Source organism: Homo sapiens, chromosome 12 (genome assembly GCF_000001405.40).
Source record: "Homo sapiens chromosome 12, GRCh38.p14 Primary Assembly".
Classification (NCBI taxonomy): domain Eukaryota; kingdom Metazoa; phylum Chordata; class Mammalia; order Primates; family Hominidae; genus Homo; species Homo sapiens.
Window position 1 is genome coordinate 108287767 of NC_000012.12, and position 23609 is coordinate 108311375.

General features: G+C 50.2%; 1 protein-coding gene across 5 annotated transcripts in view, besides 2 other annotated features; it reads right to left on the reverse strand.

Annotated features, from left to right (window-relative positions):
• Positions 1-279: 279 nt before the first annotated feature.
• CMKLR1 (chemerin chemokine-like receptor 1) overlaps positions 280-23609 on the reverse strand; it is a 51266-nt gene continuing 27936 nt past the window's right edge. For 3 of the 5 annotated variants that reach the window (NM_001142344.2, NM_001142343.2, NM_001142345.2), the window contains 2 exons: positions 5823-5898; positions 280-5193 (listed from right to left, as the gene is read on the reverse strand). In NM_001142344.2, coding sequence (NP_001135816.1) covers positions 4075-5193; positions 5823-5825 — 1122 coding nt within the window. In that variant the 5' untranslated portion in view covers positions 5826-5898 and the 3' untranslated portion in view covers positions 280-4074. Of the gene's footprint in view, positions 5194-5822; positions 5899-17013; positions 17106-23609 lie in introns of those variants that run through there. The other 2 variants (XM_047428313.1, NM_004072.3) reach the window with 2 other exon arrangements.
• Positions 15808-16329: an enhancer, noted in NCBI's record as "H3K27ac-H3K4me1 hESC enhancer chr12:108697351-108697872 (GRCh37/hg19 assembly coordinates)". NCBI's record gives its function as "activates a minimal SCP1, AML or CMV promoter by ChIP-STARR-seq in primed H9 embryonic stem cells {active_cell/tissue: H9 hESC(primed)}" and the evidence as "EXISTENCE:reporter gene assay evidence [ECO:0000049][PMID:30033119]".
• Positions 17900-18421: an enhancer, noted in NCBI's record as "H3K27ac-H3K4me1 hESC enhancer chr12:108699443-108699964 (GRCh37/hg19 assembly coordinates)". NCBI's record gives its function as "activates a minimal SCP1, AML or CMV promoter by ChIP-STARR-seq in naive H9 embryonic stem cells {active_cell/tissue: H9 hESC(naive)}" and the evidence as "EXISTENCE:reporter gene assay evidence [ECO:0000049][PMID:30033119]".

Genomic DNA, 23609 nt, shown 5'->3' on the forward strand with positions numbered 1-23609 from the left:
TATTATCTTGGGTGAGTAACTACCTCTTTCACATCCTCAGTTGCTAGAAAAGCAAAATAAGTGAAAAGAATTTTTTTCAAAATGCAAATTTCTTGGAGCTCGAAGGTTTGAGAATGGCAGGTTGGGGACTTCAGGGCTTCTCCTGCTGCCCACAACATAGCTCTGTGACTTTGCACTGGCCGCCTCACCTCTCTGAGCCTCAGCTGCTGTTCTGTGAAGTAAGTGAGGAAGGCAAAAGGGAGGTGATGGCAGGAACCCCCAGAACTGAGCCACACACTCTTGCTTCAGTCTCTTTATTCGAGAGAAACTTTGTCCTCAAAGGGAAGAAGTAAGAAGACCCCCTGCTGAATTATTTCACAGTAGAAATAGTAGATTCCTCTCTGGTCCTAGATACCACCCCCAGCAGCAATTTTCCAAACCCAGGATTTGGTAACCTTGGGCCTAGGGCATCCCAGCCCCAACAAGAGCATAACATGTTAGGGAGGAACGAGAGAGGGAGGCAGGGCAGGAGTTGAGGAATCACCGACCACTTTCATCCAAACCAGACACCACCTCGTTTTGCAGAGTCCTCAGGGGAAGCTCTCAAAACCTCAGTTCCCTCATCTGTGAAATGGGAGACATCTGGGCAAGATGAGTTTGAAGGTCCCTTATGGTTTTCACGATTGGATTCTATCTTCTCCCACCCATCCAGGCTCCCAACCCCACCAGAGCTGACTCTGGGGTCGAATTTGAGCCAATCCCCTCCCTTTGTCAGTGCCCAGTTTCCTCACCCCTTCTGAACCTTGCTGCCAGAATCTCTGTGCCTCTTCTCTGGAGAAGGACCCAGGAACCTGCAGGGCTCTGTGCGCTCTGGGAATTATCTAAGGCTGGCAAAGGCATCCCGGTGCTTGAGGCCCTTCGTGTTCTTGCTCTTCCCTTCTCCCTGTCCTTGCTGGCTCAAGGGTCAGCTGGAGATGGTTCTGAAATCAAATTCCTCCCACTCTTTGGACTTCCATTCCTCTCCCCTTCTCTCTTCTTTCTTTCTTCCTTGTCTTTTCCTTCTTCTTCTCCCCACCCTCTCCTTCCAAGGGCTGAAGAAGTTGGGCATTCAGGCAGCTGACCTGATTCAAAGCCCAGCTCCATACCTCACTAGCTGTGCAACTCTGAACTAGTGAAGTCTGTTCTTGAAACAGAAACTCACTTTCTGCACCCCCCCCCCACCTTGCTATGATGGTCCCCTTCTGCCAGGGCCAATTTGAGGTTTCAGTGTTTGTGCCTGAACCATCGTAGGTGCTTCATGAATGCCAGATCCCTTTCCTTCATCATCATGCTCTGGGACCTTTCTGTCCCCTCTCCTGTCCCTCCCCTATCCTCAAACACCATCTTCTTTTCTTTTCCCTCTACCTCTTGTCCTCACGATCCCTCAGCTCCCCCACCCCACCCAGGAGGCAGGGCTAAGTAAGGCCCCATCACTGAGTCCTGGGCCCAGAGAGAAGGCTCTGGGCACTAAGTATGTTGGTTGCCTGTGCAGCAGTGCAGGTGAGCACACTTTGCACACTGCAGGGACGATATATGCATGACCCATGGAGATGTTCACATGAAGCTGTGGGGACAAGACTGTATGGGATGTTAAGGCTGCATTTAAGTACTTGACAGGAACCTAAGTCAGAACAGGAAGACCCACAGAGCAGCCAGAAAGAGGGAGGCCAGACTCTAAGGAGGAAAACAGCCGGTTTGAATTGTGCTCCTGTTTATCAGCTTTTCCAATGACAACATGAATTCCTGGCTCCCCCATCCTGGCCTGGACTGCCAGAAGCCCAGGAAAAGCAGCATCCTACAAGCCAGGAGGGCCAAGGCGCTGACGACTGCTGCTGTGACCCGGGACAGGTCCCATCCCATCTCGTGCCTCAGTAAATGTGGGAAGAGGGGAGATGGGGGCCACTGAGCAATATTTAAAGCTCCCTTTTTGCTCTCAAACCGTCTATATTCAAACTCTTTAAAGCATTCAGAGGCTCCAGCTTGGGATCAATTCAGAGCTGCCTTGTCATAAGCATTAAGGCACAATAAGGGAAGGAACAGTTTGTCTCTTAATGAAGTGTGATTCCAAACAGCCCATGGCCTCGGGAACTCGCCCAGCGCGGGGTAGACATTGCATCTGTTCATTGCATCTTGTTGGAGAATCAGCTTAACAATGAAGGGACTTGGAAGAGAACAGAATGTGGACACTTAGGAGCCAAAGGGCCTCAGGCCCACAAGGGACTGCCTCCTGCCAGCTTTCCCTCCCCATTGCCTTGATCTCTGGAGACATAGGAGGTGGGAGCCACGGTAGGAGGCTGTTAATGGCTGTTGAGGGAGCTGGAAGCCAAGTGCATTTTCTCTGCCATGTTGCATCATTTTTGAAAACTATTTGCAAAGTTTCTTAAAGGCCATTAAGATGTTCATCCTCATTTGCAGAAAAATCAATATTTATGGCAAAAATCTCCAAACTTTTTAAGTCCTTCCCAACTCTGCAGCCTCATTTGAGCCAGGCAAACTGAAGTTCAAATCCAAGCTCCGGCAGAGACTAGCTGGGTACCTTTGGGCAAGTTACTTAACCTCTCTAAGCCTCAGATTCCTCCTATGTAAAAGGGAAGTTATAACCATACCTAACTCAGGGTTGCTGTAATGATTAAATGAGAAAACATATGTAAAGTGCATAATATAAAAAGTGCTAAATAAATGTAGGCTATCAATATACTAGAATAATCTCCACAGATAAATTCCAAATAGAAGAACAGAGTTTCTGGAGCCAGACGGAGCCAGGTTCAGATCTTAACTCTGCCACTGATTAGCTGTGTGATGCTGGGCAAGTTACTTTCCCCATCTGGGCCTCAGCTATGTCATTTGTAAATGGGGCTATGACACTCTGTGGCCACAGGGACGTGTCAGTATTAGATGAGAAAAGCCATGCCAGGCACCTGTATCCAGGAGGTATTTGGTGTCTGCAGCTCAGAAACACAGTTCAAGGAGTCCAGCTCCAGACTCTGTCTCAAGTGACTGAGTCCTCGGACATACTCTTCTTCCCAGGGGACTCTCCGGAGTTGCTTCCCAAAGCTGCATTTTGGACCTGTCTCCAAAGGCGTTGAGGAAATTAACCAGAATGAGAAGCCCCACCACCAGTGTTTTATTCTAAGCACCTCCAGCCAGAGCTGAGTGGATTAGGAAAGGCAGAAAAAAATCCCTGTGATGGGGTGAGGGCTGCTGGTGAAGATGCCTGCCACAACCCCACCCCCAGGTAAGAGGGGCAAGGTGAGATCAGGGGCTGGCACCACCCTGACGCCCCAAATAGCTCCAGCCTAAAGCACCATCAGCCTGCGATGTTCTAGGGTGAGCTGCTCCATGCCTGCATCCTTTAAAGGTTCTTTTCTCCTTTCTCATTTCTTTGCCAAATCTCAAGTCCTCGTTGCATCCCTCACTTGTCTTGCCCTTGCAAAGAGCCCACAGGACCTCTCAGGACCAGTTCTCTGTCTTCCTAGCTGATCCGAAAGCCAAATTCATGGCCTATGGAGTTCATGGGCTGATATGTCACCTTCCTCTCCCAGATCACCTATGCATTTCCACATACTTTAACACAGAGCAGTGACTTGAAGGTAGGGTTTTCTGGCCAGCTACTGATAATATATATACAAGGGCCAAGTGTGATCTGCATCACACTGGGTTTGCTCTGACCCCCTCACTGCTCACACCAGGAATGGACCTTGGAGAGTGTCATTTCTGGGGCACACACAATAGGCAGCTTAATCCCACCGCCCTATGCCAATCCCAGTTCATGGCAATGCTTTTGAGAATTCTTCCTTTTTTGCTTTGAGTCAGTCAAGGCTGGCCTCCCAAGAAGCATAAATTGCTAGTCCAAGGCTGTATGGAACACAGCATGTTCTGTCCACTAGAAGAAAGGGGTTCCAGGCCCTAGATTCCCAGCATAAAACACTGTTCATCCCATGCAAAATGCAGTGAAAATTGGTGGATGCTAAAGAGGTTCTTGCCTTGATCTTCAGAAGACATATCCTTGGGTGTCCCTGGGTTGAGAGAGTCCATTGAGGGGTTCCACAGTGAGGATCAAAGCATGCCGGTCTCCCTCTCATTCATAGAAGTCCTCTCATTCATTGATGACATCTTGGTAAAGCTTCTATGGCTGGGGTAGGAAGAGTGGCCTGTATCTTCACTTAGAGCATTGACCAGGCGAGAGAAGAGGGCCACCTTGAACTTCTTGAAGTCCTGACCCATGAAAACATACAGAATGGGGTTCATGCAGCTGTTGGCAATGGCAAGGGCAGTGGCCAGGGGCAAACCCAGGCTGAAGACAGAGCCAGGCATGGCAGTGTGGTGGAGCTCTAGGAGGTTGAGTGTGTGGTAGGGGCACCAGCAGAGGAAGAAGGTAATGATGATGGTCACAATAATCTTGAAGGGCTTCTTGGTCTTGGCCAGGCGGTTGCGCTGCAGTTTGCACACGATGGTGAGGTAGCAAGCTGTGATGATGAGGACTGGGACCAGGAAGCCACAGAGGAAGCGGGTGACAGTCACCACCATGTGCCGGCTATACCCCACAGGGTCCATTTGGGAGTGAGTGGGCCACGAGGAAGACCCAGGTGTGGACAGGCTGAAGTTGTTGAAGCAGGATATTTTCCCATGCAGGTTGGCTGTGTCCCGGAAGACGAGAGATGGGGAACTCAAGAAGAAAGCCAGGACCCAGATGACCATGCAGGCCATGTAAGCCAGGCGAACGCTGCGGTGGTTCTGGGACCAGACAGGGAGGAGCACAGAGATGCAGCGGTCAGAGCTGATGATGGTCAGCAGGAAGACGCTGGTGAACATGTTGTGGATGAGAAGGAAGTTGCTGATCTTGCACATGGCTGTCCCGAAAACCCAGTGGTAGTCCATGGCGGCATAGGTGATATGGATTGGGAGGAAGACGTTGAACAGGAAATCTGCCACTGCCAGGTTGAGGAACCAGACCATGTTCACTGTCTTCTTCATCTTGAAGGTGGCAATGATGATCACCAGACCATTGCCCAGAATCCCGAGGAAGCAGACGATGCTGTAGACCACCACCAGGAAGATCCTGGTCACCCTGGCTTCCAAGGGGGATAAGTCCTCCAAAACCACAATGGAGTCTAAATAATCAGGGTATTCATCACCGTAACTGATGGAAGTGTTGTAATCTTCATCCTCCATTCTCTGCAAGAGAAGACAGGGACCATTAGAGGAACCCTAGAGTTGGCTTTAAGAGGTTGACCAATACCAGCAAGACCAACAATGTTCCCCCTGACTCTGAGCAAGTCCAGTTTTGTGATTTAACCATTTCCTTCTTTGCTATTTTATTTATTGAACAAATGCCTCTCTGGTACCTCCTACATGCCAGGCACTATTGCATTCTACACTCTCTTAATCTTCACAGTAACTCAATGAGGTAGGTAGGTTATGAGCCTCAACTTACAAATGAGGAAACTGAGTCACAGAGAGCTTATGTCATTTGCCTGAAGTCCTACAGCTAGGAAAAGGCAGACCTGTGATTTGAATCCAAGCTTCAGAGTCTATCCTTTTGACAACCATGTTTTCTGTCTGCTTGGGGCCCTGTCTTCCTCTAGAGCCTAGTGGGGGAGACAATTGTTCATCAAAAAGTCCCTCAAATAATGGGAACATTGCAATAATGCTAAGTGCAATGAAGAAGAGGTACATGGTGCTGTGAACTTGATTCCAACATGCTTCTAAAACCAAGTGGACAGCCTTGTTGTGATCCCCCTGTGCACCCAATCTGTCAGTGGTCACTGGTGCCCTTTGGAGTTCAGACCACAAGACTTCCTCACCATTCACCGTTATGTTGTCTGCAGCTCTCCAATGTGAGTCCTCAGCCAATCAGTCCCTGTACACAGCTAGAAACACCTGTAGGGAAAAAAAAAAAAAAAAAAGCAGCAATTGGATCCAGGTCTAAGAACCAGAGGGTTGAGTGGACCCAGCCAGAAATAAGATCTGTTGTTCTTATTCCCATTTTACAGAGAAGGAAGCAGAAGTTCAGAAAGGCTGTTATTCAGCCAAGGTTATGCAGCCAGGAAGGGATGGAGCCCCTTGAACCTAGGTCAACTGACTCTTCCCAGGTCAAGTGCTGGACTCTTCATTCTAACCACTCCCCTCTCCCAGCACATCCCTAGCTGACAGCTGGAGTCGGGCATGAGTAAAGGAAGACACAGAGGAGGTACATGGATGGCTCAATCCACTACCAGGTCGGGACTCAACTCCACTACCAGGGCAGGACCCACAAAATACTGTTTTAGGAAGTGTGAGCACAGAGAAAACAGGAGAAGACCCACACAGAGTACCTGCTATGTGCCAAGAACTTTTATTCTTTCTTGTTATTTAGTCTTCCTTGGGACTTTTCCAGGCAGGTGTTATTCCTTTTGTGTTAAGAAATAGAGAGACTGAGGCTCAGAGAAAGAAGCATCATTCTTGCTGGATATTCTCTGGGCCCTATGGGAACCATGAATGAGATGCAGGCTCTGAAGCCACAGCAGTCTGGTGTGAAGACAGACACAAATATATCCACTGAGCCTCCGCTGTGCAGACAACTTAAGTGGCACTTTAAACAAGCCCCATAACAATCTTGCTGAGTATTTTTCCAGTCTATGGAAGAACAAACATATTCTGAGGAGTTTGCAAGTTTGCAAGATCTTGGAGGCAGTGATCACATGCAGGGTTCATACCTAACCCCGGACACTTATGAGCTGTGTGGCTTTGGGCAAGTGATTTCTCTTCCCTGAATCTCAGTTTTCTTACCAATAAATGGGATTTCTCACCTCACAGAGTGTATATAAGAACTAGAAGCATCAGAAATGTGGAGCATTTAGCTTGGTATTGGCACATAGTAAGCCCTCAATAAATACTAGTGATTGCATTATTGCCTAGAGGTGCACAGCTGATAAGCAGGATTTAAAACCAAGGCTCTGATACCCCAGAGCCCATGCACTTTTTTCTGCGGCTCATGATCTCCCCATCTTGTCAAATGGGCTCCAAACCAGATATTTCAGCTTCACAAGGCTGCTAATCAATGCTTTATTATAAATAACTCCAACCTTCCTGCACATAAATTCATTACTGATCCTTCCCAGCTTAAGGTTATATTTTATTACATAAAAGTCATCTTTTGCTTTTATTAAATAAAAGCCACTTGGAAAATTCCATTGAGGGCTTTGCACTCAGAGGGCTCACAATCAAAGCTTGGGTGTTATCCCACTCTATGCTGGGACAATATTTCAGAAGTGCCCACCAAGGGGTCTCCAAGGGTTTTCTATGGCACTGGAATGCAGAGAGAAGATGGGGACACTGGAGCTGGCCTCCCATGACTGGAGGTAACCTGACAGGTGTGCATGACAGTAGTGGGGAATGCACATTGAGCTCTTGTGTATGCCAGGGACCATGTTAAGCCCTCAGTCCAGATGGTCTCACTTTAACCCCATAAGGGGCTACAGCAGGGCTCAGAGAGATCAGGACCCATGCCCAAGCATGCAGGCAGGGGCTGGAAGAGCTGGGATTTGAACCACATCTGCAAAGCCTGAGCTCTTAACTGTCACTCCACACTGCCCCTGAGACCATGATCTGCTCAGATTGATGACCATCACCAACCTTCCTTTTGGAAGAAATGACCAAGTTGACATTCCCTGTGCCAAACGGTGCAGGCACCAGGGATGAGGACATGGCCTTACTAGGGTCCCTTCCCAAAAGGAGCTCACAGGTATGAGACAAAGAGACAGTGTTGAGGCTGGGGCAAGACTAGAATGCCCCAAGAAGCCCAGAGGAGGGGCTGTTACCCAGCCTGGGAGTCTGAAGCTTCCTGGGGCCAATGGCATCTGAGTTGAGTTTTAAGGACAAGTATGAGTTAAGAAGGTGGAAGGCAGAGAAAGGAGGAAGGGCACGCCGGGCATCTCCCCATCTCTGACCTTCCCCTCCCTCATTGACAGTGGGCTGGGTGTGTGAGTCCCGAGAGGAGGTCGAGGAGGATCTGGGACTCAGGACTGAGTGCTTCGCACAGCATCTGCAGAGATGCAGCCTGAAGCAGATGACATCATGTCGGGCTCTCTGGCTGGGCTGGGAGCAGCTTGGGGTCAGAGGCCATGTTTTTTCATCTTAGAGCTGGGGCCAGGCTGGGCTGGCACAGAATGATGCTGACATCCTCTGGGCATGTCCCTCCTTCCACCCCTAACTCCTCATCCTTCCAGGAATTGAGTGGATTCGTGTCCCCTGTTGGTGCATCGCCCCCACCCCAAGACGCCTCTCTCTCTGGAAGCGTAAGGGAGGCACAAGTCACAGGTTTGCTTTGAGCCTCTGCTCTGTCCTAACACACATCCCTCCTGTCCTGAGCACATTTCTGCTACCAAACCAAGCGGAAGAGCAGACTCTTGGGCCCAGCCAGACTGCCTGCATCCACATCCTGGATCTGCAGGAACTCCCCTGTGACCTTGGGCAAGTCAGTTACCTTCTTTGCAACTCAGTTGTCTTATCTGTAAAATGGGCTTGATAATAATAGCTCCTGCCTCATAAGAAGATGGTTGTGAGGATTAAGTGCTTGGAACAGGTCCCCTTATGGGGTAAGCACTATATTGTTGTTATTGGCATTGTTATTATTTCTCAGGCTTCCACTCTTAACTCCCTTCTAAAATGGTCTTTGCCTGGGAAGGTGGGATGAGGCTAGGAAGCCAGAGGACCAGTGAGTTCCTGGCCACTTGTCTCTCCAGCTGTGGGATCAAGGGCAGGTCAGAAAGGGACACAGAGGCCAGGCACGGTGGCTCATGCCTGTAATCCCAGCACTTCAGGTGGCTGAGGTGGGAGGATTACTTGAGGCCAGGAGTTTGAGACCAGCCTGGGCAACATGGTGAAACCCGGTCTCTACTAAAAATACAAAAATTAGCCAGGCATGGCAACACGTGCCTGTAATCCCAGCTACTCAGGAGGCTGAGGCAGGGGAATTGCTTGAACCCAGGAGCGGAGGTTGCAGTGAGCCAAGATCAGGCCATTGCACTCCAGCCTGGACCACAGGGTGAGACTGTCTTCAAAAAAAAAAAAAGAGGGACACAGGTAAGGATTTTGCTTCTCTAAGCTCCAATGTCCTCTCCTCTCAAGTGGGGGTAAGAACACCTTCCTCGTGTTGTTGGGAGAATCATGTGAAATGACAATGAAGCCTTTGCCAATTGTGAATTATAAAGAGCTGTAAAATTCTAGTTACCCAAATTCCTTAAATCCTCCACAACCAGGAAGCTTATGAAAAAAATATGCGTCACTATATATACCGCTGACCCTTGAACAATACAGGTTTTAACTGCGTGGGTCCACTTATTTGTGAATTTTCTTCTGCCTCTGCCACCCCTGAGACAGCAAAACCAACCCCTCCTCTTCCTGTTCCTCAGCCTACTCAACATGAAAACAATGAGGATGAAGACCTTTGTGGTGACCCACTTCCACTTAATAAATAGTAAATATATTCTCTCTTCCTTATGATTTTCTTAATAACATTTTCTTTTTCTCTAGCTTACTTGATTGTATGAGTACAGAATATAATACATATAACATAAAAAAATACGTGTCAATTGGCTGCATATGTTATTAACAAGACTTCTGGTCAACAGGAGGCTGTCAGTAGTTAAATTTTGGGGGAGTCAAAAGTTATATGTGGATTTTTGACTGTACAGTGAGTTGGCTCCCCTAACCCCTGACTTGTTCAAGGGTCCAGTGTACATAATATGTACATACATATAGTTAACGTTTGCTTGATCTCTCACTGTATGTGCTTTGCAAGACTCCATAATAGCCCTGTAAAAATAACTCCTATTTGCAGATGAGAAAACTGAGGTTCAGAGAGGTGGATACACTTGCCTGAGGCCACACAGCAGGGAGCTCTGACTCCAGAATCTGACTTCCAAGGATCCCAAGTGAAAAGGCTGTTGGGTTCCTCCTGTTTCCCTGAGGGATTATCAGCTCTCATCCCAACCACTCTGACCTCCGTAAGCCTCAACCTTCAATCCTGATAGCCCAAACCTTTGTCACATTCCTGGTCCTGCCACAGAGCTGCCTTCTCTGAGCCACCTTCATAGATTTCCCTTCATCTCCTCCTCAAGGCCTCTGCAGTCAGTTACCACATGAAAATCACACCTGCAATGCTATGTAATTCCTAGTCAATGATGTTGCTCCCTGACTCCCTTGGGATACCCTTTATGAAGCTCTGTGCTCAGTGAGAAATACTCTGGAGGATTCAGGGTAAGGAACAATGTTGCTTCTCTTGAGGAACTGGGTTGCTTTCTCGTTCTTGATCATCCATGTTCTACAACTGATCACATTTCCCTTTTTGATGTGACCACAAGGAAGCTCAGAGTCATGTTTGTTGGTCAAAGGCACAAAAACCTCTAGTCTGCAGGTTTCTGCACTGGTTTTGCTTGGTCCTTATGTCTACATCGAATTATACTTTATATTGGTTTTACTTCCTTGTAATAACTAATAATTGATTGGGTGCACATAAGAGTCCAAACACTGTATCAAGCACTTTCATTGCATCAGCTCATGCATCTCCAACAACCTCCAGGAGTGGTACTGCTATCACTCCCATTGTAAAGGGAGGAAGTGATGCTAATGTCACAGAGTTCAGCCAGTGACAGATCCACATCTGGGTTTGCTCTGACTATGAGTCTTGCTCTTCACCACACTGCTTACTGGAAAGGAGAACACATTTACCGATGTCTGTTCACACCTTTCCTGATACACCAGGCCGTCCAGCTCCACCCTACAGGGACACCCTCCTTGTTGCTCCACTTTTCCTAGCCCCTCAGGGAATTTACCCTCCCAGTTTTCAGGACAATCTAGCTGAGGTCTGGGACACACACACGGGGGTTACTCACCAGAGACCACATCATTCATCACAGCCCATAGAGGCAGGCCGGCCTGACACCTGTCTGCCTCCCTTTCCACCCTCAGCTGCCCAGAGAACCCAGGGGAAGCCCATTCTCCAGGCCCAGCACCAAGATTCTGCCTGAGACCCTGAACTCACACTGGATTTGGCCCCAGGGCAAAAGCCACTCCGCTCTTATCCCCCTGAGTCAGAACTCCCTAAGCCAGTCATACTGGTCCATTCCCTGGGACGGTCCCAGGAGGGCTCCAGAAGGGAATGCCAGGGAGGAGATGGCAGCACAAGGTCCACGTGTGGGCGGCAGGAGACCTGCTGTGTCACCTGAACAAGCTGCTTCTCCTGTCAGGGCCTCAGATGTGCAATCTGCAAAATGAGGATGATAACAATACCCACCCCGCATGCTGTGCAGGACTAGAATAGCTAAAGTGACAGGAATTTGTGTTTGGAGTCAGGACTGGGCAGCAGACGGTCTGGAGAACACTTTGGGCTCTGGGATGCCCTGCATATGCCTGCACCAGGTGCTCCTCCCAGCTCATCAGTCTTGGCAAGAATGTCAGAGAAAGACCCAGAAGGTCAAGGCCCCAGAGGTCTGAGAGCTGTGCTTTGTGGGAGAGGCATGAACTGGAACAACTGAAACTTCTCTTGACCAACACATTTGCTAGGTGGCAGTCTCTAAAAATCAAAATCACTTTTTTTTCAGTGTAGGAGTTTCTACTCCCTTTTAAATTCCTTCCCTAAGTCAACCTCATCCCTAGCAACCAGGTTCAGGCATCCTTTCTAGGAAGCATCCCCTCTCCTTCCTGTAGTAAGTGGAAGGATGCCCTCTGCATTCCACCCCCTGCCCCCAAATGGTGCATCCACTAGAACCTGTCAGTGTTACTTTGTTTGGGAAAAGGGTCTTTGCAGCTGAGATTAAGGTAAGGATCTCATGATGAGATCATCCGGGATTAGAGTAGGCCCCAGATTGCAGTCACCGTATAAGAGGAAAAGCAGGGGGAAGATTTCACATGGACACAGAACAGAAGGCCATGTGGGGATGGAGGCAGAGATAGGAGGGATGCTGCCCCAAGCCAAAGAACATCTGGAGCCACCAGAAGCTGGCAGAGGCAAGGAAGTATCCTCCCCTGGAGCCTTCAGAGGGAGCACGACCCTTGATTTCAGAGTTCTGGCCTCCAGAACCATGAGAGAATAAATTCCTGTTGTTTTAAGCCACTCAGTTTGTGACAGTTTGTTATGGCAGCGCTGGAAAACAAATACACTCCCCATTCTGGCTCCTACAGCGTCCTGCTCACCCATGTGGGGCACATGGCATTTATGTGATTATTGCTGGCATATGCATCTGATTAGATAACAAGTTATCTGAGGACAAGAATTGGGTCTTATTCAGCTCCATTTCCTCAGACTGGAGCAGAATCCAGGCACCAGACAGGTCCTCTGGATATTGGGCTTTGTTCGGTTTCGTTTTGTTTCTCTTACACTATGGACCAGGGCGCCATGTGGCTTGAGCTTACTCACAGCATGGCAGCTTCAGGAGAGTGGGCTTGTTGCCTGGCAGCCCTGGGCTCCAGGAGCAGGTGCGCCAGGGAACACGGCCTTTTACAAGCTAACCTTGGGGGTTAGTGCTTAGAAATCACATTGGGGTCACTTCTGCCTTACTCCTTTTATAACTCTATTTTGAAATAATTACAGACTCACAAGCAATTGCAAAAGTAGTACAGAGAAGTTCCATGTACCTATCACCTAATTTCCCCAATAGTAATATCTTACGTAACTCTAGTGCATTACCCAGAATATTGTTTGATGAATGAATGAATGAATGAATGAATGAATGCTTGTTTTTCTGTCTCACTGGATCTGTCTGGATATTAGAAATAATAACAGTGACATTGTTGATGCCATAGAACATAGAACAACACAACAAAGGGATTAAGGGCCCAGGATATTGCTTCCCATCCATCAGGGCTGGACTATTGCTCCATGACCTGTGAGCTGTGCGACCCTGGGCACATTACTTAGCCCTCTCTACAGCCTCCATTTCAATATTGGTGCAATGGGGATAATCCAAGGACCCACCTCCTAGGGCTGTTGTGAGAATTGAATAAGTGGCATTGGTGAAGCATTTGCAGCACTGCCTAGCATAAGAAAGTTCACCATTAATCATTAATAAAGTACTTCCTTTGTGCTGGACAATGAGCCAAGGAGTTTATCCCATCTCGCCCAATCCTCATGATCACCCTACAGGGTCGGGACACAATTATACGCATTTTCAGACAGGGAGGGACACAGAGGCTCAGGGGGTGAAAAAAGCCCTACAAAGCACGTTCCATCACTGTAGAGCAGAAAGTCAATGTTGCTATTGTTGTTGTCAGTGGTGGTTCTGACCACAATCAGCATCCACCCAAGTCTTTTTTTTTTTTTTTTTTTTTTTGAGACGAAGTCTCACTCTGTTGCCAGGCTGGAGTGCAGTGGTGCGATCTCAGCTTACTGCAGCCTCTGCCTCTCGGGTTCAAGTGATTCTCCTGCCTCAGCCTCCCGAGTAGCTGGGACTACAGGCACATCCCACCACGCCCAGCTAACTTTTTGTATTTTTAGTAGAGATGGAGTTTCACCATGTTAGCCAGGATGGTCTCAATCTCCTGACCTTATAGATCCACCCACTTTGGGCTCCCAAAGTGCTGAGATAACAGGTATGAGCCACCGTGCTCGGCCGCGTCCACCCAAGTTTTCTATCAGTACCTGGTTCTGATTCTCACTCTGTCTAGTTCCCCAGGCCTCTCCCTCTGCTGCAGACCATGTCTTACCTGAAAATGCCACCCAGGCCACCCACACAAAAAAGCCCTACTATGTAACATGTGTTCATCCTCCACCAGCCCCCAGCTCAGTGCCTGGCACATAGTAGGCACATAATAAGCACATGCTTTACTATTGCTGACATCATAATTTATTAAGCACCTACTATGTGGCAGGAGCCAAGCCCATTAGAAATGTCGTCACAGACTTTTTCCAAAACAACCTTGCAAAGGGGGTGTATCCTTCCCCCATTTTACAGACGAGGAGACTGAGGCTTTGGAAACATACAGAGCTTAATGCCCATGTCGTTGTTGTGTTATTGTTATTAGTGTTGCTATTTGTGGCTCCACTCAATTGCTCATCTTGTGTTTGGGAATCCAGCCTCCACCTCTCTGCCCTGAAGCTTAGCTCATGTGGGAGCCCAGATCCCACCATTATAATGGGCTACACACACATACACACACAGGCATGTGTGCTCACACAGACACACACATCAGAATGCACACACACACACTTCCTGCCTCCAACGGAGGAAGATATTTACAATCTCCAAACCCAAAAAGGATTGCTATCTAGCGTACTCAAGGAGCCCCTTCCTGCAAATCCAAAAAACAGCGACCCTGACAGGACAATGGGCAAATGATAGGAACAGGCAATTGACAGGAGGGAAACCCCCAAACCCAGGCATATGACAAATTGAAGATCAAAGAAATGCACATGAAAACCACAACCAGATGACATTCTACACCTTCTAGACTGTGGCAAGAACTAGAAAGCTGGACGCTTCCCAGGTTGGCCGGGTGGGAGCACAGGCACCTCATGCCATGCTGCAGGTATCTGCGAACCCTCTGTGATGGCTCCTGAGTGAATATCCAGGCAGTGCCCCACCTCCCTGCAAGGAAACACACAGGGAGGTGTCCATGTGCATCGTTTTTGGATATGTCTTCTTTCCCCAGAAGCAAATCCTCAACTGACGATTCTGGCAAAAGTGATTTATTAAGGAAGCATTTCAGGAAAAACTGGTGAGGGAGTGAGGAAGTGGGAGGAGGCCAGGCAGGGGTGCAGCATCCCACAGCGTCCTACAGAGGGTGGCCTTGGCTCACACCCATCAAGGACCCTGGGAACAGTGCAGGTCACATTCCAGGAGTATTTGCATGCCTCCGCCCTGTCCTGGAGTGTGCATTCCCAGCCACTCCCAGCCTCAGGTCAGTTCAACAAAGAGCCACACAGGTGCTGGCTATCAGGACCCTAATAGTGCTGTGGTACATTGAGAACATGTCTGCAAAGCGGCAACACACGTTTTGCAAGAATCCAGCCAAATAGCCAGACGCACATTGAACACATTAGAATGGCTCCATGGGAGAGAGGGTGGGAGGGGTCACGGGACTGGGAAATAGGGCTACTGGGAAATGAGCACAGTGAAGAAAGAAAATACAAGCGCAGGGACTTCTGGGGGCCCCTGATGGAGAAGTGGAGGGATGGAGGGGTATAATTATGTCAACCCTCCCTCCTCTCCTGAGGTCCAGGAAACCCCAAAACAAACAAACAAACACTCCGATCCCTGCCTGGGGCTCATGCTTGGGTGGTGCCCAGCTCAGAGTCTTGGTTACTGAATCCCTGACCGAGCCACAGTGGCCAGGCAGGGGGCCAAACATGCAGCCCTCAGAGCTCCACCCGTTTTCCCCGTTAGGCGGGAATGAACTTGGACCGGCCAAAGGAAGTAACAACGTCAGCCCAGCCAGGAGAGGCTGTGCAAAGAGTCCTGGGCCCTAGTCCTTCCTCGTCGAGCCCAGCCCCTGCTGGGGGTGGGATGGTCACCAGGCAGACAGTTGTGTCCTGCCCACACCCCCGCTGCCGGACCCTTGCTGGGAAAGGGACAGGGCCTCAAGGTCACATCTGGCTTCTCCTGCCATGCAGAACAAAAGCCTCCAATGGACATTATTGGCTTAAGTTTTATTAAACAAATACACGTACAGTCCTCACTACAGTCCAGCCACTGTTGTAAGCACTGCTACTAATGAGAAAACAGGCACAGAGAAGGTAACTAACGTGCCCAAGGTCACACAGAGAGCTCAGGTAAGTAAGGTAGGTCCAATTAGCCATTCTGAAGGAATGCTCAGAGACAGGCTTCAAGCCCAAACCCTGCTGAATTGACAAGCTCACTCTCTGTCCACTGCTTCGCCTCCTTGGAACATTCCACAAAACTCTGGCTTTTGCCCCAGTGGAACCTCCCAAGGGCCCCCAGAAAATCAATCTGGCAAGATTCAGGGTGTGCATTTTACAGACGGAGCAAGGCAGGGCTCCGGGTCCCCTGCAATTTTCTCCCCCAGGTCCCTCTGCCTCTGGTTAATAGCCTGAATGTGAAATGCCTCCAATCTCGGTTACAGGAGAAGCCTTTGGAGGCGGGGATCATTCATTTATTCATCCATCCTCCAAGGACATGTGGAGCCTTCTGCGCCCCAGAGCTGGTGTGGCTGCTGGGATGCAGCACACCGTGGGTGAGAGCACACCTTTTCTCTCTGCAGCCTCCCCCTAACCCTGCAAGGTCACTGGTATCAGTCCCACTTTACCAACGGGGATGTCTGAAGCTGAGGCAGGGGAGCAAGTAGCTTGCCTCACACCTGCCTGGTTGGTTGATCGATGACAGTGTTAAGCAGGGATTGCAGGGCTGGAGGACAGCAAGGTTGGGTGTTTACCCTCCAGCTCCTTCCCTGTAGGGTCTCCATGGGTCGACTTGGCCACAGCTATACTCTCCAGGCACCAAGAACCACTGCTCCCTCTTGCCCCTCAGCCTAGAGACAGTGAGTTCTCCTTGCCATTACCAGGACTGGGATTCAAAACCCAAGTTCATATGGATCCAGGGCCTCACCTCCTCTGGCTGTTCCCCTGCCGGTGTGTGTCCTATGGGCTCAGTGTACAGCAGGGCCGGGGACCATCTGGGCAGCAGATATTTACCTTCTGCTTCCTTGATTAAACCCCTTTGCCCAATGGGTTCTTTACATCGCAAAGCACTGGCTCCTTTTCTGCCCTGGTCTCTCTGTCCTTTGTCTCTTTCCCTGCTTCCACCTCTGTCCTGTTCTTACTCTCCTCTGTCTCATATCTGACTTGTTCTTTCTGCCTCTCTCTCTCCCCCAGTCTCTGTGTTTGCCTCTCTTTGTTCCTGGCCCTCTCCGTCTCTTCCATCTCTCTGCAGTCTCCCTGTCTTCTCAGTCTCCACCTCCTCCTCTCTCTTCCCATGTTTTCTCCACCTCCTGCACACCGGTCACGGGTCAGCCCTCCCCCTCTGACAGGCTCGGCTGCCCCTCACCTGCAACATTCCTCACCTGTGCGCCTAGCCAGCCCAAGCTTCCAGCAGCCACTCTGTCAATCTGCTGTCTCTTTCATCGCAGGCTACCACTAACCTCTTCCTGAAAGCAGGCCACAGGCCAAATGCAGGGGCTTTATCAGGGCCTGTGGGCGTAAGAGCCCATCAGGGAAACTGGAAACATTCCTCGCTCTGCAAATGACCATGTTTGGCCTGGCTCCTGTCCCCATCTTCTCCCCACATGACCCACCCTGACAGTCCAGCCAGATGGCTCAGACACCTCTCCTCCAATTCTGTCAGCCTCCAAAAGGAGCTGGGAGGCCCCTCGGAGGACCATCTCTTGTAGCAGGGGAAACTAAGGCCCAGAGAGTGCATGACCCTCTCTAAATCATAGAAAAGAGGGACTTGGTCTCTCTTGTTTATGGTGTATCCCCAGAGCCTAGAACTGTGCCTGGGACTTCCATAACTTCTGCCTCAGTGTGATCCACATAGACCGTTCCATAGATTTGCAAATAGGGACTCAGAGAGGTGAAGTGACTAGTCCAGATTCACACAGCCTTTAAGCATCAGCTCGGGATTTGAACCAAGGACTTTTTGACCCCAAAGCACAAGATCACAGCCTCAACCAGCAGCTGAAATGTAATGAGGCGGGCCAGTCACCACTCTTGCCCTCAAAAATGTCTCTCCTGAGCAGCATACCAGCCTCCCCCTGGCCTGGACGACTGTAGGTGCTGATGTCTTTGCCTGCTGCCTTCTGGGCCAGTCCATTCACCAGATCTCCTACCCTCCAGGGCAGAGAGAAGGGGCCTCTCATCTCCCAAGGATGGCTCCAGAGACACCTCCAGATCCCTGTATCCCCAGGCTCTGACAGACTCGGGAACCTGGAAACCACACAGTGTCTGCAGATGTTCCAGCCACAGGCCTGGCTGCCAGCCCCAGGACAGAATTAGCTCCGTGTCAGGAGAGAATTTCCTCCCTGGTCCCACGCCCACATGTGGGAGCTCGCACTGAGTCACTGCAGCAGAGCAGAGCGGCACGGGCTGCCTAACAGACTGTCCCATTTTCTTTCGGGTTTGGAAGGGGCCACGACGGAGCTTAGGACTCCATAAGAATGGGCAAAAACAAGGAGCTTATGCCCCTGAACCCAGACAGCCCACCTGCTTAGAGGCCAGGAAAAGCAGCTGATGAGCTCACCGACTCAGGGAGACCCCCCCACCCAAAATATTCACGCCACTGCCTGGCATCCTCCCATTAGAACACTACTCCTTGAGCCTTAAAAGCGTTTCCTTCCTCTCCGGGGATCTCTGTCTCCAGATCCCTGTCTGTTCTGTGCCCTACAGGCTGACCTGCTTGAAAATCTCAATAGGCTGTTTGCCCTCTGACCTCTGGTTTGATCCACAACTGCAGGCGTGGAGCGTGCGGTTGGGTACAAACCCTCCAGCTCCCTCCTTGTCAGAGGTGTGCGGGTTGGCCACAGCCACACTCCTTGGGTGCCTTAACTACTTCCTGCTCTAGCCCCTCAGTCTAGGAACAGTGAGTTCTCGCCTTCACTGGACCCGGAGCGTGGTAGGGATCCCTTGTACTGTCTACCCTTTTGTCAGTCCTCCCCTGACTAAGTTCTCGTTAATCACCTCATTTGAGTGGGTTGTCCATCTCCTGCCAACACTCTGACTCAGAAACCAGACTCTCCACACTTTCCCCTCCCTCCCTACCCACACATCTATCAACAAGTTCTTCCCATTTTGTCCTCCCAACAACTCACAGCTGTGAGCATCACCTCTGCTTACCTATGTGGCTACCAGGGGCTCCTAACTGGTTAGAAACCTATCTACCTAGTACACAGACCATTTTATTCCTAGTAGACAAATCTTTTCAAGAAGCAAACCACATCATGTCACTCCTTGCTGAAAACCTCTTAGCACCTCCTTGTTCTTAGAATCAAGACCAATGCCTTACTATGGCCTGAGCAATCTAGACCCTGCCTACCTGAGGACTGAGCTGAGGCTCGAGCCCAGACCCAGACGGAACCAAGTTCCATGAGAACACGCCCTTGCAAACTCAGCCTCATTACTTTATTGGACACCTAGCTGCCCTTGTAACCATCTCCCCAGCAGCCATTCCTAGTCACAGAAGGTCCCCAGCAAGAGCATTTGATGGACATCTGTCCTTCCAGGCCAGGAAGCCCCTGTAGCCCCCAATAATGGGTCCCGTACACAAGCCCTAAGTATCTTCCCAGCCATCCAGCTTGTGCCTCTCCCCATAAACACCGCCCCAGCCCCTGGAGCTGGCCTGTAAACAAATTTTCTCCCCTGCGCATATCCCACTGGACTGGGAGGTCCAGCACCATATTTAGTTAATCCCCTGACGTCAGCCTTGGGTCCACTCTTGCAAATAATCCCCAAGCTATGAACACATTGTAGCCAAAGGGTGGCTGGTGCTGGGGATGCTTACAGCTTGCTCAGGATGTGGTCAAGAAGGCAGCTGGGGTGAGTGACTTCTGCCCATGCTGGGAGCCAGCCTGTGGCACGCACTTGGTGTGCTGTTCTGGGTGTGGGCTTGGAATCTCGACTCTGGGAGGCAGCGGAGGCCCCACATGCCTCCAGAAGCGCCCCCTGAGAAGTCACTCTTCTCTTACAACCAGGTCAGCACAGCTCACCCTCTGCCCTTGCTTCTCTTCTCTGGCACCCTGAGATACCTGAAAAGTGGCAACTCAAGAAACTTACCCAGCCACAGGGTCCCAATCTGCCAGCGGGTGGGGAGAAGGGCAAGGAGGTGGAGAACCCAGACTCATCCGCTCTGGAGCCCTTGTGTTTGAGTCCCATGCCTCGCTCCTTCCTTTCTGTTGCTCTGGTGAGCTGGATAAGGAAGCCATGGCTTCTGCCATTCCCAGCTTCAGCTCAGCCTCCCACCTCCCCAGCATCCCTACATCCTCTGCAAGAGGCTCTGCAAAGCGTGTTTCACTTTATTCAAGTCCCTCAGCTGAAACCAAGCTATTGTCTGGCCTCAGTCGGGACAGGGCATTAACACCTAACAAGGAGGTGGTCCTGGCTGGGTGACCTGGATCTGCTCTCCACACCTCCAAGTCTCTTTTTCCACTTCTGGGGCATGTGGACCACCCAACATACCATGATGGTGAAGGAGAATAACCTCTGTGGCACACCTAGAAAAACAGCCAGCCCTTCATCAGGTCACAAACAATGCCAGTTGCCCATTATTCTCATTTCACAGATGAGAAAACTGAGATTCAGATTCAGTGAAGTGACCGAGTGAGCACGTGGGTAGAATCAGGAGCTCCAGGCTGGGCTTCCAGCTTCTCCTCCCTTGGTTTTCCATGGAATCCTGTCACATATCATCTGGAAGTAGGTTTCACTTCTAGCTCTAGCACTTCCTGGCTGTGTGACCTCATAGAGGTTACTTACCTCTCTGAGCCTCAGGAGCCTCATCTGTAGCATCTGTCTCAAGGAGTTGTGAGGATTCAATGAAACAAGGCTGGTGAGGTGCTTGTCACCACCACAGCCACTGCATTAATAGGGAAAGGGGATTTCTTTCACAGGGTGAAACTGAAATGTGTTTCTACTGCTCCCTCAGTGAAGTCCACTGTTTTAGGGTCCCAGGAGAATTTCTCAGGACACAAGCCCCTTCCCAGCTCTCTCTTCTGCTCATCCCCTGAGCACATCTGGTCCAGGGTAGCCCCGCCCGGACCTCTCGCTGGCCGCTCAACAGCCTGTTCCCTGCAGGCCACCTCCTTCTGGAGACTTCCTGCCCTCGCCTTGACTGTTCCCCTCCAGGGCTCCCATCACTGTAGGAAGTGTGCTCAGCATGGGTCCAGGGAGCTGGGAATGAGGTTTGGCACCTCTTCTTGGGAGAGGTCAGAAAATAGAGGTTCTATTAGAGGGTGAGGACGGGCAAGGCAGGGGCCCCTCCAGACAGGCTGACTCAAATCCCTCAGGAGGCTGAGAAGCTTCCGACAAGACAATCTTGATATTGGGCTCAGCTCTGAAGGCCAAAGATTCTTCCTTCCAGTCCTCTAATCCTCCTGTTTCCCTTCCTCCATCCTTCCAAGAAATAGTCATTAAATACCTATTATGAGCCAGGCCTGGATCTGAGTACTGGGGTTGCAGCAGGGAACAAACCAGACACATCCCTGCCCTTGGAGTCGAGGGGTAGTCGGGGGTGACAGATGCTAAACAGTCAAGTAAACAAATACATAATAAGGAAGACAAACACATCTGGAGCCAGACTGCCTCGGTTTGAATCCCAGCTCTGCTGTGTGACCATGGGCAAGTCATCACACTTCTCTGTGCCTCAGTTCCCTCATCTGGAAAATAGGAGTGATCATTGCTCCTCCCTCACAGAGTTGTTGCAAGGATTGAATGTTGGTAATGGGTTTATGTTGGTAATGTTTTAGAAGCATGCCTGGTTCATCGGAAGCTCTATGTAAATGCTGAAAAAATACAATGAATATAATAGCAGGCAGTGATTTGTGCTGTGAATAAAATACAAAGAGGGTCATCTTCTCAGAGAAGCTTCTTGGAACGCTCTCCCTAACATAGAATTCCCCTCCCCCAGCATTTATGCCCTGTTCCACCTTTGAATGGAGACCTGAATACACAGAGAGGGAGACATGGGCTGGTGCTGTGGAAGAGCATGGTAGGCAGTGGGAACAGCAGATGCAAAGGCAGGAGGATCGCTTGAGCCCAGCAGCTTAGGGCTGCAGTGAGCTATGATTGCACCACTACACTCCAACCTGGGTGACAGGGTGAGACCTCCATCTCCAAAAAAAAAAAAAGCCAGTAGTGGGCAACGTCTAAGGGTCACACTCCTTGCCAAATGCTGTGGGAGTAAGATGGCCCAGTCACTACCTTCATGCAGAGAAAGTGGTTGCAGGAACAGATCGTGGCACAGTCAGTATTCTGAGATGTCACCTAAATTCCAGGCTTCCAGCAAACTGGCCATGCTGGGCTTGCATTACAGAACAGGGGTTATCCACAGTCCCCACCCCTCCCTATTGTTCCCTGGGGTAATAAGCCAGTTGCAATTTGCCATTGAGTTTGTCCAGGGTCTCTGCTGTGGCAGAAATAAGTGCAATCCAGTGAGAGAAAGAGGAACCAAGTCATTCTCATTTTCAGCTTTCATAGGAGAGCACGTATGTCTTTGTGGACATGAAAAATGTTCATAAATGGGTCATTTGGGTCTCCTGCCTGGCCCTGTTGGTCACTGAGTGTGTGGCCCTGGCTCTGCACAAAGTAAAGAGAAAGGGCTGGGGAAATCAGGGGATGCTTCCTGGAGGAGGTGGCATTTGAGCTGAGCCTTGGAGGGTATGAAGCCTTTGCCAGGTGGAGCAGCCGAGGGAAATGACATACCTGCAGAGGAACAGAGGCTTGAAAAAGTGTGGTTAGGGGCTGTGTGTGTGTGTGTGTGTGTGTGTGTGTGTGTGTTAGGGGAGGGGAGAAGGCAGGAGATGTGGCTAAGGAAAGAAGAGGGTTTCAGATTGTGAGATCCCTGCAAGCCATCAACTTTATCCTATGGGCAATAGGGAGCCATGGATGGTTTTAAGCAGAGGGTATCATCCTTCTAAAAAGATTCCAGCTTCTAACCTGGGTGGCTGATGTGGGCACTGCGTTGGAAGAGGAAAGGCTGGAGGCAGGAGAATAGCAAGAGGCCTGGTGAACTGAGGATCCTTCTGCCAGTTCCAGGCCTACCCAGAAAGTGCAGTTTTTGGAGGCTCCAGGCATCAGGATGTCCCATCAGAGAGCCAGGAAGCCAAGCAATCTCTTTATTTTTCTTAAGGATTTTTCCTCAGCCCACAGGGACTGGTTTGCTTCCAGAGCCATTTCCATGGCAACCACCAATGCTCCAAGAAAGGTCTTGAGTGAGCGGAGGAGTGAGGACCAGAGATACTCAGATGGGTCTTCACGGGAAAAGCCAGGTCACAGAGAAGGGCCCATACTGTCCAGTCCTGGGGGCTGGGAGCCATCTTCCCCCGGAGTCCATGATGCCACAGATAAGCTATGGTTGCCATGGTAACACCGAGTCCCCCATCCCCGGGCCTCATGGACCCAGGGCCTTTCAGCAAGGCGGGTAGGCAGAGACAGGAGGGAGGCAGTGCTGAGGGGCAGCCAGAACCTGCAGCTCACCAGGGAGGCACATCCCAGGACACGTGTGTGAGGCAGGTAAGTTCGAAGACCGCCCCCCCACCCCCCGCCCAGGAGATGAGCAGGGTGCAGATGAAGGAGCAGTCAGCAGTCTCTGGGGTCTGGTGCTGGGGTTCTGGAAAGGCATCCCCCACTGCAAATTGATGCCAGATACACACTGCTGCTATGCCTTCAATTCCACCATCAGGGTCCTGCTTTCAACTTTTCCCCAGTGAACTGAAGTCAATGTCGTGATGACGATGGAGAAGCAGAGGCCCACACACAAAGGAGGTTTTTGGCCACAGTTATACAGCAAAATGGCGTCAGGACTGGGGCTCAGATGCCAAAACCATTCCTACTATGTCAGATCCAGTTAGTGGTTGACATGAATGTGTGTATGTGTGCGTGTGAGATATTAACACTTAAAAGTGCTAGGGAGACTGGGCACAGTGGCTCATGCCTGTAATCCCAGCACTTTGGG